The 16526-nt window shown below is 54.4% G+C and overlaps 1 protein-coding gene across 8 annotated transcripts in view, besides 2 other annotated features; it reads right to left on the bottom strand.

Moving 5' to 3' along the window:
• Nucleotides 1-15037, bottom strand: part of NSG1 (neuronal vesicle trafficking associated 1) — a 32527-nt gene extending 17490 nt beyond the window's left edge. For 2 of the 8 annotated variants that reach the window (NR_167932.1, NM_014392.5), the window contains exons 1-3: nt 14396-14467; nt 13811-13965; nt 9978-10094 (exon numbers count right to left, since the gene is read on the bottom strand). Coding sequence is in view for 6 of the 8 variants with exons in the window: in NM_014392.5 (NP_055207.1) it covers nt 9978-10094; nt 13811-13939 (246 nt within the window). In the remaining 2 variants the exon portion in view is untranslated. Of the gene's footprint in view, nt 1-9977; nt 10095-13462; nt 13584-13810; nt 13966-14395; nt 14468-14925 lie in introns of those variants that run through there. The other 6 variants (NM_001287763.2, NM_001382227.1, NR_167933.1 and 3 more) reach the window with 6 other exon arrangements.
• Nucleotides 4083-4631: an enhancer, noted in NCBI's record as "H3K27ac-H3K4me1 hESC enhancer chr4:4398665-4399213 (GRCh37/hg19 assembly coordinates)". NCBI's record gives its function as "activates a minimal SCP1, AML or CMV promoter by ChIP-STARR-seq in naive H9 embryonic stem cells {active_cell/tissue: H9 hESC(naive)}" and the evidence as "EXISTENCE:reporter gene assay evidence [ECO:0000049][PMID:30033119]".
• Nucleotides 4632-5179: an enhancer, noted in NCBI's record as "H3K4me1 hESC enhancer chr4:4398117-4398664 (GRCh37/hg19 assembly coordinates)". NCBI's record gives its function as "activates a minimal SCP1, AML or CMV promoter by ChIP-STARR-seq in naive H9 embryonic stem cells {active_cell/tissue: H9 hESC(naive)}" and the evidence as "EXISTENCE:reporter gene assay evidence [ECO:0000049][PMID:30033119]".
• Nucleotides 15038-16526: the final 1489 nt, after the last annotated feature.

Raw genomic sequence — 16526 nt, 5'->3', positions numbered from 1 at the left:
AAGGCTTCTGGGAGGAGGTGTCCATGTCCCAAAGGAGGAGGAGCTTACCAGGGAGGAGGGAAATGGGAGTCCAGCAGGAAGAAAGGGTTTGTGCCACGGGCCTGAAGCATCAAAAAACCCAGTGTCTACGACCAGTGTGGCTGCAGCATCGCACACCCTGCAGGAGAGGGAACACGAGCCCGGCGACAAAGATGCCTGTCTGCCACACCAAGACACTGGAAGCAGACAGGTCCCGGGTGTTTCAGGACCCCAGGAAGCAACTGCCACTTTGTGACAAACTAGCATTTCTCACAGCACAAGCAGTCATCTGAAGGACAGATGCCTACCACTGATATGCATGCATGTGTGTATTACAGCAGGGTCTACATTATCCCGAAATTTACATCACTTCTGTGCAGCTGGCAGTAAAAGCTCTAAAGCAGGGGCAATGGGATTATAGCTGCTGGGCAGGGATTTGTACTCATTGCTGTGCATCCCACGGTGGCCCAAGGTGGCCCAGCCCCCACTGCTGTGGGTGTTAAGGGATAGTGCACTGGAGCAGCGGGTGCAGGGCTCCACCAGGTTTGTGTCATTGACCTCTTTGGCAGCTGTGTGAAACCACAAATCCTTAGAATGATGTTTTAAATGAGTAAAACACAATACATAGACTTGCAAGGAAAACTGATTATATTGAAATACTGGTATCGAAATATTACAAAAATATAAATTTGTGATAGATATGCATTTATTAACACACTGAACAAGATCTGATACTGTGGCTTCAAAGGAACCATGAGCAATAAACACTGTCCCAAGACCACACTGTCCCACAGCTGCAATGTGATATAAAAACACCTGGTATGCATTGGTGACAAAGTCACAAGTACTACTAATACCTCTGTGGTTTACTGCCTACATTAAAAAGTGAAGGAATTTGTACACTGAAAACTATAAAAAATTTTTGAAGGAACTTAAAGAGGATATAAATAAAAGGAAAGATACCCTGTGTTCACAGATTGAAAAACATAATATTGTTAGGATGGGAACACTTTCCAAACTGATCTACAGATTCAAAACCATCTCTGTCAGCAACCCAAAGGTCTTTTTGTTTGTTTGCCGAAAATGGAAATTACAAGGGACCCTAAAGAGCCAAAACTGTTTTCAAAACCAGTCTTGAAAACAAAGAACAAATTGGAGGAGTTCTCAATTTTAAAACTTACTACAAAGCTACGATAATCAAAACGGAGTGGTATTAGCATAAGACGAGATATATAAATCCACGTAATACAATTGAGAGTCCAGAAACAAAACTATGAGTCCATGGTCAACTGATTTTCAATAAGGGGGCCAAGACCATTCATTCAATAAGGAAAGAACAGTCTCTTCAACAATGCTGTTAGGACCACATGCAAAAGAATGTGACCCTTACCTCATACCATATATAAAAACTAACTCAATTGAGTCAAATATCTAAATATAAAAGCTAAGCCATAAAACTCTTAGAAGAAAACACAAGGGAAAAATCTTCATGTGATTTGGCAATGGTGTCTTAGATCAGGGGTCCCGAACCCCTGGGCTGCAGACCAGTACCAGTCCATGGCCTGTTAGGAACTGGTCTGCACAGCAGGAGATGAGTGGCAGGTGAGCAAGCATTATTGCCTGAGCTCTGTCTCCTGTCAGATCAGTGGCAGCATTAGATTCTCATAGGAGCATGAACCCTATTGTGAACTGTGCATGCAAGTTGTGTTCTCCTTATGAGAATCTAGGTTGTGTTCTCCTTATGAGGATCTAATGCCTGATGATCTAGTTTCATCCCAAAACCATCCCCTGCTCCCTGGTCAGTACAAAAACTGTCTTCCACAAAACCAGTCCCTGGTGCCAAAAAGGTTGGGGACCGCTATCTTAGATAGCTATGACACCAAAAATACAAGCAATAGAAGAAAAAATAAATGATACTTCACCAAAAATGTAAGATTTTGTTTATCAAAGAAACTAGCAAGAAAGTGAAAAAAGAACCTATAGAATGGTAGAAAATATTTACAAATCACATATCTTACAAGGGCTTATATATATATAAGCATATCTTACAAGGGCTTATATATATCCAAAATATATAAGGAACTCTTACAACTCAACAACAAAAACACGGCTGGGTGAGGTGGCTCACACCTGTAATCCCAGCACTTTGGGAGCCCAAGGCAGGAGGAATGCTTGAGTCCAGGAGTTTGAGACCAGCCTGGGCAACATAGTGAAACCCCATCTCTACAAAAAATATGAAAATTAGCTGGGTGTGGTGGTGAATGCCTGTAGTCCCAGCTACTCCAGGGGCTGAGGTGGGAGGATCACTTGAGCCCAGGAGGTCGAGGCTGCAGTGAGCTGAGATCCCACCACTGCACTCCAGCCTCGGCGACAGAGTGAGACCCTGTCTCAAAAACAACAACAATAAAAACACAAACAAACTGATTAAAAAATGAGAAAGGACTTGAGTAGACATCTCTCTGAAGAAGAGATACAAATGGCCAACAAGTACATGAAAAGATGCAGGACATCATTAGCCATTAGGAAAATACAAATCAAAACCATAATGAGATACTACTTCATATCCACTAGGATGGCTATAATAAAATAAAATAAAAACAAACAAGTGCTGGTGAGGATGTGGAGAAATTGAAACCATTGTGCATTGCTAATGGCAATGTAAAATGGTACAGCTCTGTGGAGAAGTTTGGTAACTCCACAATACGTTAAATATCAAATTACCACACAGCCCAGCAATTCTACTCCGGGGCATATACCCCCAAAAATTCAACAGGTATTCAAACAAAAACCTGTAAATGAATGTTCACAGCAGCGCTACCCACAACAGCCCAAATGTGGAAACAACCCAAATGTCTATCAACCAATGAATCAATAAACAAAATGTGGTCTATCGGTACAATGGAATATTACTCAGCCATGAAAAGGAATGAAGCAGTTGTAAGTGCTACAACGTAGCTGAGCTTTGAAATAGCATGCTAAGTGAAAGAGGCCAGATAGATGGTCACATCACATCTTACAAGATTCTATTTCTATGACATGTCTAGAATAGGTAAGTCACAGGGACACAAAACAGATTTGTGGCTAACCAGGGGCTGTGGGGGGGGGCATGGGAGTGACTGCTTAATGGGAATGGGGTCTCCTTTTGGGGTGATAAAAATGTGCTGGAACTAGCTTAGTGATGGTGGTTGGACAACATGGTGAATGTATTAAATGGCACTGAATTTAATATGGCACTTACCTTAAAGCGGTAAGTTTTATATTTTGCATATTTTACCACAATTATTTAAAGAATGGGCCAAGCCGGGCGTGGTGGCTCACACCTGTAATCACAGCACTTTGGGAGGCCGAGGCAGGTGGATCACGAGGTCAGGAATTCAAGACCAGCCTGGCCAAGATAGTGAAACCCCATCTCCACTAAAAATACAAAAATTAGCCGGGCATGGTGGCAGGTGCCTGTAATACCAGCTACTTAGGAGGCTGAGGCAGGAGAATCACTTGAACCTGGTGGGGTGGAGGTTGCAGTGAGCCGAGATCGTGCCACTGCACTCCAGCCTGGGTGACACAGCAAGACTCCATCTCAAAAAGTAAAAAAGAAAAAGAAAAAAATAAAGAATGGGCCAGAGGAGAGAGGCGGGAGGCTGGTGTCGCAAACTATTGTGGGTGTGCTGACAAGAGGCCATGAGCCCCAGTGGAAGGCAAGGGAGACCTGAGGAGTGTTTTCTGGAAAGAACAGCCGGGAACAGAGAAATACAAACAGGATCTGGGCCTCAGGGTGCGTTTATAACGAGTGGATAAGGAGGGAATATGTGTCCTCGAGGCTTGGGGGTCCTGGGTGATGGCCGCCACCCAGCATCCTGGCCAATCACTGTGTCTGCTGTCACTCACAGAAGGGCCCCACCTGGGCCAGGAGTTACATGGTCACTCACGTGAAAGGCAGTGGCCCGTGGCCTTGTTCTGGGAACGCTCACCGTCTGGACAGGGAAGCGTGAGCGGCCTCAGCACTGGCTGTGCTCCCGTCTGCCCTCTCAGGTCTGGGGCCACTGCCCAGCTCAGGGTCCACAGGGGAGTTGCCCTGCACACCCCACTGGCATGGAGGACGGAGCACAGTGGGATTTGGTGTGTCACCCTCATTAGCTGGGTGACCTTGGGTCTGTTCCTTAACCTTTCTGGCCTTATTTCCCCACCTACAAAATCAGGACAGCAGGGTCAACCATCAGAGACTAACAGGGAACGAGACAGTGCTCATGGCGCCCCAAGCCCAGGCATGCACTGGGTCGATGGCGCCAGGTCGACGGCGCTGGGTGGCTGCTGTTACTCTCCCCATCCTCCTACCCTCAGGCGGAGGGAGAAGGAAATGAGCATTTCTGCTGAGTAATTCAGTTTAAAAAAAAAAAAAAAGGAAAAAACTTGGAAAAAGAAGATGAATCCCGACATCTTCAAGCGTTTACAGCACTAAATATTTTAGGTAACCCACACAAAAGTGAATACATACACACACACACACACACACAGATGACTGAACCCACGTGGTATCTGATTCAGCCGAAGCCCCCACACTACAGCTAGCCTGGGGAAGGTGGGCTCTGCAACCACAGCCCCAGGATCCTACAAGATGCTCGCATAGCTAAAGGTGAGGGGGCGTCCACACACACCTTCAGGGTCTCCAATACCACCCCCACGGGAAGAACCCCCACCCCCACTGCTGAATGCCAAGGAAACGGCATCACTCTTCATAAATATTTAAGAAATGCATCTTGAAACACACCAGGGGCTTACTGGAGAATGTGGAAACAGATGCGCACGCAGGAAGCTCAAGGTCATTAGGGAACACACCAGGGGCTTACTGGAGAATGTGGAAACAGATGGGCACGCAGGAAGCTCAAGGTCATTAGGGATGTGAAGAAAAGACACAAACCACCCACAGAGTCCTCTGCGACAGGATGCAGAGGGACGTCCCCACCAGAGTCTGGACTGCCAACCAGGGGGACCACGCAGACTAACGAGGGCTCTCCTGCCAAGTCACTCCCCAGCCCTGTGCTGGCGGTGAAAGGTGTTCCCGTGCAAAGCCGACCTTCAGATCTCTCAAGGCCCCAGGGTGACATGGTACCCGGTGAGGGTCAAGGCTGGACCACCCAAACCTGACCTCACATCACAGGCAAACAGGGTGTGGAGACCTCTCCAGCGTCAGCAACCGGTCATCACCGGAATCACGAAGCACGAAGGGCTGGAGCGGGCCCTGAGGGAGCCTTCCTGTCACCTGTCTGATGACGGCCCCTAATGACAGTCTCCAGACCGGAAGGAGAACTGCAAGCAGCGGCCCCAGCAGCCCCGACCCGCCACTCTGCAGGCATCAGTGGGGAAGTGCAATTTCAAAAATGTTTAGGTTTGGTTGAGAAACATCTCAGCCAGTGTTTATTCTCACTGTAAATATGCCTCCAGTTAATTAAGCGACTGCTTTCCTTGACAAGAACCTCTTTGGAAGCCCAAGCAGCTGGCCGCCGCTGGGGGAGTCCTCCTGCCATCCCGTGTGGCGGAGTCTCTCAGAACCTTCTCCCAGTCAGCAGTTACCTAGCAACCAGCCTAGTAACCTCACAGCCAAGAGATTAATCCCCAAGTGACAATCAGAAAGCTGCATGCAAAAAGACACTCCGTTTCAAGGATGCCATCCAAACGCCTATAAAGATGAGGTGCTTCTGAGCTACACAAATTGGAGAGAGGAGGGGACAAACGATTTACCTGTCACTTCAAGATCGGAAAGGCGAGATTCCATTCCTGCAATTCATGCATGGAGATGAAAGAGCTAAGATGATGGCTGGGCCAGGGAGCTGCACAGAAGCTGTCCAGTCACTAGTGGGACGAGGAAGATGCTCTGTCCCAACCACAGCTTCGACTGGGCCCTGGCAGGGGGGTACACAAGCCAGGGAGGGTGAATCTCTATTGCGGACCCTCCATCATGCCCGTGTCTCCAGCATAGCCTGCTCCCCATATGCTCCCGTTTCAGAAAGAGAGACCCGCCCAGCCCTCAACCAGCTGCAGCTTCACACACGCCTCATTGTGTGCACGCGTTCAGGGATGCCAGAAATCTAACTGGGTAATAAAAAGCTGGGAGAACATTCCAGAAAGGTGGGCACCCTTAGCATTCCCAAAAAGCACCAGCCCTCCTCATCCTTCCCAGCTTCTGTGCTGGAATGCACCCCCATCGGAAAGGCTCGAAAACTCAGGACACATTAGGATCACCTGGAAAGCATTTGTCAAAACGCATCTCCCTGCGGTTCAGGGTCCAAGTTAAAATCAAACTTCAGGTGATGCTGACTCAGGTGGCTCCAGAAACACCTGGGGAAGCAGCACTTTGGAGGCTGCCTCTCACATCCACCCCACAGCAAGTGGGCAGGGAGCTAGGTAAATCTCCTTCCCAGTTGAGAAGGGGCTCGGAGCAGGCACAGAGAAGAGATGCCCTTAGAATGCAAGTTGTTCAGCTGCGAAAGTCCAGCCTGCAGGCTTCCTGGGCAAGCTAGTGGGCTGAAGTATGCCACAGCAACAGGCTTCTAGAGCCGGCTGCCCAGCTCCTACTCTGCCTCTGCCACTCACTGACTGTGTGGTCTTGAGCAGGTCACCTGTCTGACTTGGTGAGAGCTGACAGGCATCACCTGTTAGAGGCTTACGCGTAAGCATGGCCCCGAGAGAGGCTTCAATCCAATGAGCTGCCAGCTGAACTTACTCAACAAGCAAGGACCCACGGGCAGACCCAGGAAATCTCGCCAAGTACCCCATTCATGGGAGGCCAGCAGCACAATTAGTCATCCATTTACTTATCAAGCTGTTACTGTGTGTGCAAGAAGCGCCAGAGAGATGATATCAAGGAGCTCTTACCATGGCTGGCATAGAGCGGCTGATGAGTAAGTTCCGTCTGCACAAAGAGTCCCTAAGCATTCATTCTTGGCTGACATTCTTGGCTCAGGGGGTCTCCATGGCCTTGTTCCCCTCCTCGGGTCACCAGTTCAGGTCGAGGGGGCCTATGCTTGGAAGGGCCACACCAATGGACCTTGCCAGGACACCCAGTCACAGGTTTCACACCCAAAGAGAAGACAGCCCAACCCAGACCCTCAAAAGAGAGCACCTGGGGGAAGGGAGCGTGGAAACCAGGACTCAGAAAGACACAAGAGAAAAAGAAGCTGTACACTGGGGAGGCTTCCGGGGTACCTGTGCCTGCCATGTCTCTGAAGGCCTTGGGGATGGGGAAGGAGGGCGCCGCACATTCTGTGTGGCTCAAGGCAGCAGAGCAAGGGTTTTGAATCAACAAAGGAAAAGGATTTGAAGAAGTGGAATGGCTCAACAGCGATGGCGCCTGGGGTGAGTGCTCCCACACAAACCCACTTCTCCAAGAAACCAAGGACCTCTGGTGCCACAGCCAAGAGCAGGCTGCCAAGGCTCTCTGCCTCAGTTTCCCCTCTATGTAAAATGGAGCTATAAGGGCGCCTACCTCCTGAGGTGTTTATGAAGATTAAATGAGACAATATGAGCATTAGGAGTGTGAAGCAGAGTCTAGCTCATGGATCACTCCGTCACTGTTAGATGCCATTGCAGCCTGGCTACAAAAGGCACTGGAAACAGGGCGGTGAGGTCTGTTGCAAATGAGAGTGACCCAGGAGGCTTCCTGGCAGAGGTGTGATCTGCACCTGCCCTGGGAGGAGATGGAAGGGATGGGGTCTGGGAAGCAGCAGGCGTCCCATGGGAGTGGGGAGGGATGTGGTGCAAGGTATGTTGGGAAGGCCTTGGCTTTGAAGCTAGAGAGTCACAGAGGGAGCACCCCAGCCACCCTGGGACCACCTGGGACTCAACAGCCTTACGTGTAAAGGGGCCGATGCCACCCCTTCAGGGCAGTTGTGAATCATAAAGGAGGAAAAGAAAACTAAGCAGAGGAACACACCCAGCAGACTTAGTCCAGTATAGTCATGTACTGAGCACCTACTGCATACATCGCCTTCTCAGACAGCCACAGGAGGTAGAGGCAGGGAGATGAGGCAGGGCTTCTGCTGCCAGCAGCCAGTCTATTGGGATGAGCATAATCACCCATGGTCTTCTGAGCCTTCAGGTTCTGGGCAACAGGGGCCAGGTAACCACAGAGTCCCAGCCAAGGCTGCCAAGGGCCCTGGTGGCAAATATGCATCACCCATTCCTTAGGCAAGAGACCTGGGGACCTGCTTCAGGTGGTCATGTGGGAAAAGTGCAAATGAAGAACACCAGAGGTCGGGGACAGAGGCTGGCACATCATAGACACTCAACAGATGAAGGAATAGCTGTTCAAGTGCCGCACTGCGCCCTGCTCTGTGGGGACCTAAAACGCCGGGGCTGGGAAAGCAAAGGGCAAGTGGGGCCTGAGAAACCCAGACACACTCAGACATCACACAGCATTTAGCCATCAGGACAGAGGACACCATGACCTTGAAATCAAGGCCACTCCTGCCTCAACCAGGGACAGCAGCCAAACCCAGGGTGCAAATGGGGCAGGACAGGTGAGTGGCAGCAGATAAGGCACGCGCTAATCCCACTGGCCAGCGCAGAAGACAGGTATTGACCTCGGATCAGTATGTCTTGGTCCTGGCCAAGAACCTCAAAAACGTACGATGGGCCGAGCCAGGAGCCACCAAAAGAGCCTCTCGGCACACACGACATCCTTACATACCAGCAGGGACAGACACAGACTGCTCTGTGCCTCGACTTCCCCATCTGTAACACTGGTAATACAAATAGTACCTACTATTAGTAGGGAGCAGGCAGAGGGCTGCTGGGAGGATTTGCTGAGCTGACACAAGTAATTGCCCCACAGCAACACTCATGGGACCCGCTGGACCAGGCAGGCCCTGACAGGCAGTGTGTGGCAACGGGAAGAAGGAGGGACTGAAAGTCAGATTACGCCCTGGCTTCCCCAGTCACTCTGTGGTTTTGGCTTCATCTGTTAACCAGGGATGGCTCCCAGTCCCACCTTCTGTGATCCACAAGGTTGTCACAGAGATCCAATATGATGCCATACCCACAGGGGCTCTGGAAACTGCAGCGGGTGGGGGTGGGAGTCCCTGTGCCCCCAGCACAAGCAAACTGCTCACACTGCCAAGTGGAGGGTGACCAGAGAGCCAGACAGGGCCACTCTGCAAGGCCTGGGGCCCACTGATGTCTCTCAATTCACCTCCTTGAATCTGGATGAGGCTACCGCTTTACTCTCTCTCTCTCATGTTTCCCAAAGAATGAGTTTCCTGATCAATATCCCAACTTGTTCTTCAACCAACGTGGCCTCTGAAGGCAGCCAGGCTGGCAAGAAGGCTCCTCCCACCGAGACAGGCTGGAACCCTCCCGCTCTCAGCAGCACCCCTTCATCCCATTGGGATGGGGGGAAGGATGGAGGATACACACAGGCCCAAAGCCAGACCCCCTGCAGATCAGATCCTGGCTCTGCTGTGTAGAGCTGTGACCACTCTGTGCCTCAACCTTTCCATCTGCAAAATGGGTTATACCGATAGTACTGGTGTGCCAGGAGGGTTGCTCAGATGAGCTCACTAGGTAAAGGGCTGGGACCCCTTTCTGGCATGTGATCAGTGCTGTGCGTTATCTTTTTGTTATTGCCTGCTTCCTTCCTGGAACTGTTAAGTAAATATTGTAATGTTTGGTAAGTGATTTTTCATATGTTTATAATCTTTGCCTAAAAGACAGTTTGTGGGTGGGTTTCCCCTGTTATAAAAATAAGTAATATGTGATCATTTTGGAAGAGGAAAAGAAAAAAGAAATGTACAAAAAGCACAAGGACAACATCTTGGCAGGCAGTCACAAGCTACTGGGTGTGCACAGCTGGGATGAGCCCAGACAAACGGCGTCAAACCCTGGCCCTCCCTGCAGGGCATCTATGCAGCTCAGCAGACCCCTTCTGGGGGCAAAAGCAGCATCTCACCCAGCACAGGACCACTCACCTTAAACCTCTCGGTGACACCCTCCGTGATGCTGACGGTGAACTCAGCAATTTGGGGAGGACGTGCTTTCCCTTTCTTGCGGTCAGGTTCATACTCGGTCTTAGTTTTCACGACCACCTTATCCAGGAAACAGAGAAACAAAAGTCAGATGCATTCAGACATATCTGCCCAAAGAGGGTGGGTCTGGGAACTCCCATATTCAAAGTCACCATTTGCCAGGAAGAAATTCACAAGAACGAGAACAGCCACTACTTTTTGGAAATCTCCTCTGTGGCAGGACTTTCAGAGAAATGACCCATTCATAATCCTGATAGCAGTCCCAGGAGGGAAATATTATAACCGAGGGGCACAGAAGTTAAGCTCATTGGCCAAGGTCATGCGGTTTATAGGCGGCAGGGCGGGGATGCAGCCTGGCAGCTGACTCCTAACCCAGTGCTCCTTCCACCCACCAGAGCCAAAGCCTGGCTTGGCCCAGGAAGCTGGGAGGCTGCACCTGCCTTTTCACTGGCCTTGCTGTGCCACCATGGGCACAAGAAGAGGAGGTCTGAGGGTACTGTCCACAGCCCTCCAGGACTGGCTGGAGAAGCTGGCCACCAGCTTGTCTGGAAACAGATCCAGGATCAACCTCTTTGTCTCCACCCCCACATCCTCCTCTCCCCCTGCCCCTGCCACAGCCCCCAAAGGGTCTCCCTGCTCTCATTCCCCTCCACCCCCTACTGTGAAGCAGAACGATGTTTGTCCAACCTGGAAACCAGCCCTTGCATCTGCCCTACACCCCAGCAGCTTCAGATGGACCCAAGAAGCCTCCCAGCCCTGGACACTCACAGCCCTGGCCTCAGCGGCGCTGCCTTCATCACTCACCACACCCGTTGCCAGGGACTGTTTACTTCTCTGTCCCACTGGACTGGGAGGTGTTCAAGAGCAGGGTCAAGGTGTTATAGGTCTCTAATCCCCAAACCCCGCTCCCCAAGCCAGGTTCCAGGAGAGGCTGTTGCACTAGAGACAGCCAGCCACCTCCAAGCTCTTTCTCCCCCGAGGGACGAGGCCCCTTCATTGGGCAGTCCGTCACCTGCTCTCCACGATGGTGGGGACCAGGACAGAACAAAGAGACCCCAGCAACTGGGGATGGTCAGCCCCAGGCGGGCAGCCAGAGGGCCTCTCATCCGGTGCTACGACCCCCAAAGCCAGCCTTGGGGAGAAAGAACAGCGGAGCCCATTCCAGGGTCACTGAAAAATGATCCCAAGAGCCATAAACCTTGTAACCACACTCTTGGCCTCTGACCCCAACTCCTTTTCCACCCAGTGCTCCTGCGGTGGAGAGGGAGGGGTGCCTGGCATGGGTTGGCCTGGGCACCCACCCCTGTGAGGCACTCATTGCTTGAGGCAGTGGTTGGGTGTCACCCTGCCATCCTCAAACCCCGACTGGACCCAACTAGCCATGTGACCTTGAGCACGCAGGCCTAGACTGGCCAATGAATGGGAAATAAGGCTACTGCTGAGGATGAGGAAACCCATGGAAACCTCTCCCGTATGTGGGGGCCCCATCAATATTCTGTCGACCTGGATTCTATCCCCACCTGCCACTAACAGGCTAGGTGACCTTGGGCAATTCTCAAACTCTCCGTGCCTGCATTTCCACATCTGCAAAATGGGGGTAACATGGTAGTGACCTCATGGCATTATCAACACATTAAAAGAATTTAAACCTGTAAAACTGGCAGAATAGTTCCTGGTGCAGAATAAGTGTCTGGCAAATGTCAGGGGAGACCAGCCCTGACTCTGCTGCCAGCACTGTGACTGCTGTCACCGCTGCACCCCAGCACCTCAGCACTCCATACACGTTCTCAGAACAGATTCTCATTTATAACCCAACTGTGTCACCACCCCTCAGAAGCCATGTCACCTGAAACAGGTGACATCGCCTCCCTGAACTCTGACCGTTAGCAACACGTTGCTGTTGTTCAGGTTAAGAGAGGTCTTACGTGAGAGACATCTGGCTCCAAGCACAGTGGAGTAAGAGGCACTGCCAGAAACTTCTGCATCCTGGAGGACTGTAACCTTCAGCCCAGTGACCTTGGGTATGTCCCATAAATGCTCTGAGGCTCAGTTCCCTCATTGTGACCTTAGAAGCCTTCTGGAAAATGATCCCAAGAGCCATAACCCTTGTACCCACACTCAGTCCCGGCGGGAAGTCCGGGATGGAAGGTCTGGCTGGACCCGAGAAGAGCATCCCTGCTGGCTGCCCCGCTTCGGACGCTTGCAGAGAGAGCAGACTCATCACCTTTCCGAGCTGCCTAGGCTACTCCTGGTCGACCTAATTAGTTGGTGAGGATTTCATACCTGCCTGAAACCCTCCTCCCTGTATAAACCAACTGTGCCAAATGGTTCTGGAATGGAACAGACTGAGGACAAGAGAGGAGGCTCAGGCCAAGTGAGGGGAATCACCTGATAGAGGTGCTGCCTCAGGACACGGAGTTCCTGGCACAGGCGCCACTGCTCCTCAGCCGAGCAGCTGGGGGCCCAGGCAGGAGGGGGTGTGGGGGCCTCGGGGCCAGGCCCCGCTAACTGGACGAGTCTGATGCCTAGACAGGGAGGGGTGGAGTGGAAGCTGAGGCCTCAGGCAGCCCTGCCCCTCCTGCAAAGCCTAGCCTGGACCATCAGTGGCCCAGAGTGGCACCACCGTGGCCTGGGGGGCACAGGTGTGGCCGGCTGATCCCCCTTTCTTGAACTGAAACCCCCGCTGCCAGCCTCTTCCCGGCTCCTGCCTCCCTCCCCAGACGACACACACAATAAAGCTGGGAGGACACCTTCACAGGGGTCAGGGCCCCCACCAGGACACCCCCACCCCACAACACCCACCCCGTCAGCAATCACCAACTTGCTGGAACGAAGACAGAGCCCTGGCTCAGAGCCCCTTCACCAGGGACTAAATGAGAAAATAAATAGAAAAGCACTTCCGGGAATTATTCGTGGCTGTGGTGGTTCGTAAGCGGCAGCAAGATGCTGAGAGTAGATGCTGTGTCTATGGTCTTAGATGTGAATTTTACAGTACAATTGCCTAGACATGCAAAGATCTATTTACATTTTTAAGTGTTAACTCTTGGAAATATTATTCTTAGCAAACAGAAACTACTTAATTGGATGCTACATTCAAAAAGAGGAGATTCTTTAAATTCAGCAGAAAACACTTTGGGGAAAGGTTGATGAATGGTTTTTCCCAGTGACACCAATACTGAGCGAGCCCGGGCACTTATTTGGAGATTTCACAAAAGGAACAAAGAGGAAGGAGACCCTGTGTGAGCGCGCACACCCTCCTGCACCTAGCGCCAGCCTGGCAGGGGCAGGCAGAAAGGGCGAGAACAATTCAGCCCTGGGGAGGGGCCATCTGACCAAGGAGAACGCTCCCCCGCCTCGGTGGGGCAAGTCGGGCTGAACTGCCACACCCGGGAAGGTACAGGGGCAGCCTCGCCCGCCCCTAGGCTCACCCCCGATCCAGAGCCCCTGGGGCCACGGGGCAAGGGAGGAGCAGGGCAGCTGCGGGGCCAGGGCCCTCTCGGATGAGGCTCCCAGGAAAAACGCGAAGGAATCTTGCCCCACCGCGTTCCACTGTCAGGACGAGAATATCATCTAAGGCAGGGCTCCCCTCCCCCGCCCAGCATCCCGCGATCCAGAATCCCGCGCGGGTACACTGTCCTCGCCGCGCTCCCTCCGGCCTCCCGAGCCCGCCCCCACTTCGCGTACCCAGCGCACGCGGCGCGTTTCTTTTGTTGCGCCCGCCGTGCGAGATTTGGGGGTGCACACCCGGCAACGTGGAGGGGCGTGGGGGGGCTTACCTTATCCGGGGGCGGGAACTGCAGCTGATTGACATCGAGGGGCGTCATCAGGGGAATGGTGTCGAAGCCATCCTCCAGCAGCGGCTGCTTGGTGCCCTTCTCTGCGAAATTGTTCCCCAACTTCACCATCGTTCCGGGAGCTCCGAGGCTGCAGCCTGCGGCGGGAGGGCCGGGGGGAGTCACCACAAGCAAGACCCGGGGCGGGGCGGGGGGGAAGTGGGCACCCACACCCACCGGCGTCCCGGCGTCCGCGAGCTCCCCGGCCCCGCTTCGTCTCGGGGAGGGCTCGTGGGGACGCGGTGGTCACGGCCCGATGCGGGGGTCGGGTGGTGCTGTGTATTTCTAGACCCTCATCTCGCAGGACCCAAGCGCCGGGCGCAAGGGCGCACCGCGGCCAGGGAAGGGGGCGCCGCCCCTGCCCAGCACCTCCAGACCCGGTCCCCGGTCCTGGGGCCGCCGCACCCGGGCGACCCGCTGTTCACAGCCCCGTCCCGCGTACTCCGGGAGATGGGCATCCCCCGGGCACTGCTCCTGGGCGGGCAAGGTCTGGCCTCGGCAAGCCCAGGCGCGGCCGGCCGCACTCACCCACGCCCGGCTCCGGCAGGTCAGCTGAGCGCTCCGAGCTCCGCGTCTCCTGCTCCTGCTCGCAGCAATGGCGGAGGCGGCGCCGCGCGCGGACCCGGGAAGGGGAGCGAACGATTGGGCTCCACGGCCGCTCCCTCCTCCTCGCGCCGCCGCCTCCCTTCCTGCCTCTCCCGGGGGCTGGGTGCGCGCGGGTGGGTGCGCGCGTGTGGCCGCGCCTCCACCTTGACGCAGCGCCCGCCCGGCCGCACAAAGGAGTGCGGGGCTGGGCGGGAGCCTCCCCTGGGACCACGCGCCCGCCCTGAGCCGGGGGAGGGAACAGGGGAGCGGGAGAGGACGCGCCCCCAGGGGGTCTCGGAGCGGCGGAGGGCGCCCGGAGCGGGAGGGCTGCGGGCTGCGCCACCCCGGGCGGCGGCCTGGGCGCGAGGCGCTTAGAAAGGAGAAAGGGGAGGCGGGGACCGTAGGGACAGAGCGACCCCCAGGGGTGCGGGGAGGTGCAGAGAGGGTCCCCGCCCGCAGCGCGCCGCGCTCACCTGGGGGTCCTGAGGACGTTCAAGGGTTTGGGGGGATGGGTCCAGGAGGCGCTGGGTGGTGGCGGAGACCAGAGCAGGGTGCTCCTTAGTGCTGGGTTGGGGAGGGGGCGACCAAAAGAGGGCGCGTCCGCGTATAAAGGGGGCGCGGCCCGTAAAGGAGGCGCGGCCCGTAAAGGAGGAGGAGGTTTTCGGTGGTGCGGGAGGCGGAGTAGCGCTCTCCCAGGGCTGGGGTGTGGGCGCCCAGGGTGAGGCTGCCCCAGGCAGCGGGAGGGAAGTCGTTCTAGGCAAAGAGCGCTCAGTGCGCCGCTTGGAGGGAGGCGGAAAGGTTCCTCCGCTCTGGTTGGCAGAGAAGGTGGAGGTCCCACTGCAGCCGCCGCCCGAGCATCCTGGGCACAGAGGAGGGGCCGCTGGGACGATGCCCGGACGCGGAGAGAAGGGGGGTGGTTCTAGCCCGACCTGCGCCCCCAAACCCCGAGCTCAGCCGCTGTCGCGGCTTCCCAGAGAGGGTCCTGTTTGCAGACCTCCAACCCGTCCTGCCTGCAGGACTCACGGATGAAAGACTATGGGGTGTGGGGGCGAGGCCGAAATGGGAGTGGAGCCCGCGCGGGAGGAGGCCGGCTGCGGGGATCGGTGCCTCCTGGGCACCTGGGCCAGGAGCTGGGCCCTGTCAGGCGCTGGACGAGGAGGAGGCATCACCCAAATTCGATACTTTTTCACACCCTTTCCGGGGACTTCCCCGCGGCACTACGGAGGGTCCGGGGCGTTTTCCATCAGCCGTCTGAGAATCCTGGGAATAAGCCCAGAGCACAGGAGCAGCCACCGCCTTGAGCCCCAGGCACAGCCTGGGAACTTGCCGCGGGTGCCCTGATTTCAAAATCCCCAGGAGGGCTAGCCGTCTTTGACAGGTGACCTAGTGGGTATCTCGTAACTCGCCCCAACTCTCCAGCCAGGGTCTAAGTGTGCCTTTGACCACAGGCCAGCCTGGTCTGAACCCAGGCTCCTGGCAGAGGCACCCCGCCCCCAACCCAGGGAAAGCGGGTGTCAGACTCTGGCCCCTGCCACGGGCCTCGGGGACCCACAGAACCCACCTTTTTGGCACTTTGATGCCTCCCTGAAGCAGGTGAAGAAGAGAAGATTTCTCTTGCTCCACTTCAGAAATCTGCCCAGGCATCTGCCATGAGAGTGACCCACTGGTCAGGAGAAACCCTTTGGGCTTAAGCAAGGAAATGGCTTTCCCGCACCCCCCCCCGCCCCGCCCCCCGTCTCAGGCTCAAGCATTTAACAGAACCCAACACACACGCGCGCGCGCAAACACACACACACACACACACACACACACACACACACTTGGTCAGAATTCCACACCAGGAGGAACAAAGTGGAGGCCCTGCCCCTCCCTTAGAGACTCTGTCAACTGAGGAGGACAGAAAGGCAAGAAGGACCTAGGTTGTCCCAGAGATGGACGGTGAACAATCATGTTTCTCTGCTAGCTGGCCTTTTGTGCTGTCTTGGGTCTTCACTGGTGCTGGTCATTGGGACTGTTTCATCCTGTGGTTTTCTTCCTCTGCTGATTGTATCTGGGCCCTGTGAAGGGCATGGAC

Source organism: Homo sapiens, chromosome 4 (genome assembly GCF_000001405.40).
Source record: "Homo sapiens chromosome 4, GRCh38.p14 Primary Assembly".
In the NCBI taxonomy this organism is placed as follows: domain Eukaryota; kingdom Metazoa; phylum Chordata; class Mammalia; order Primates; family Hominidae; genus Homo; species Homo sapiens.
This window is presented reverse-complemented; position numbering and strand designations above follow the sequence as displayed.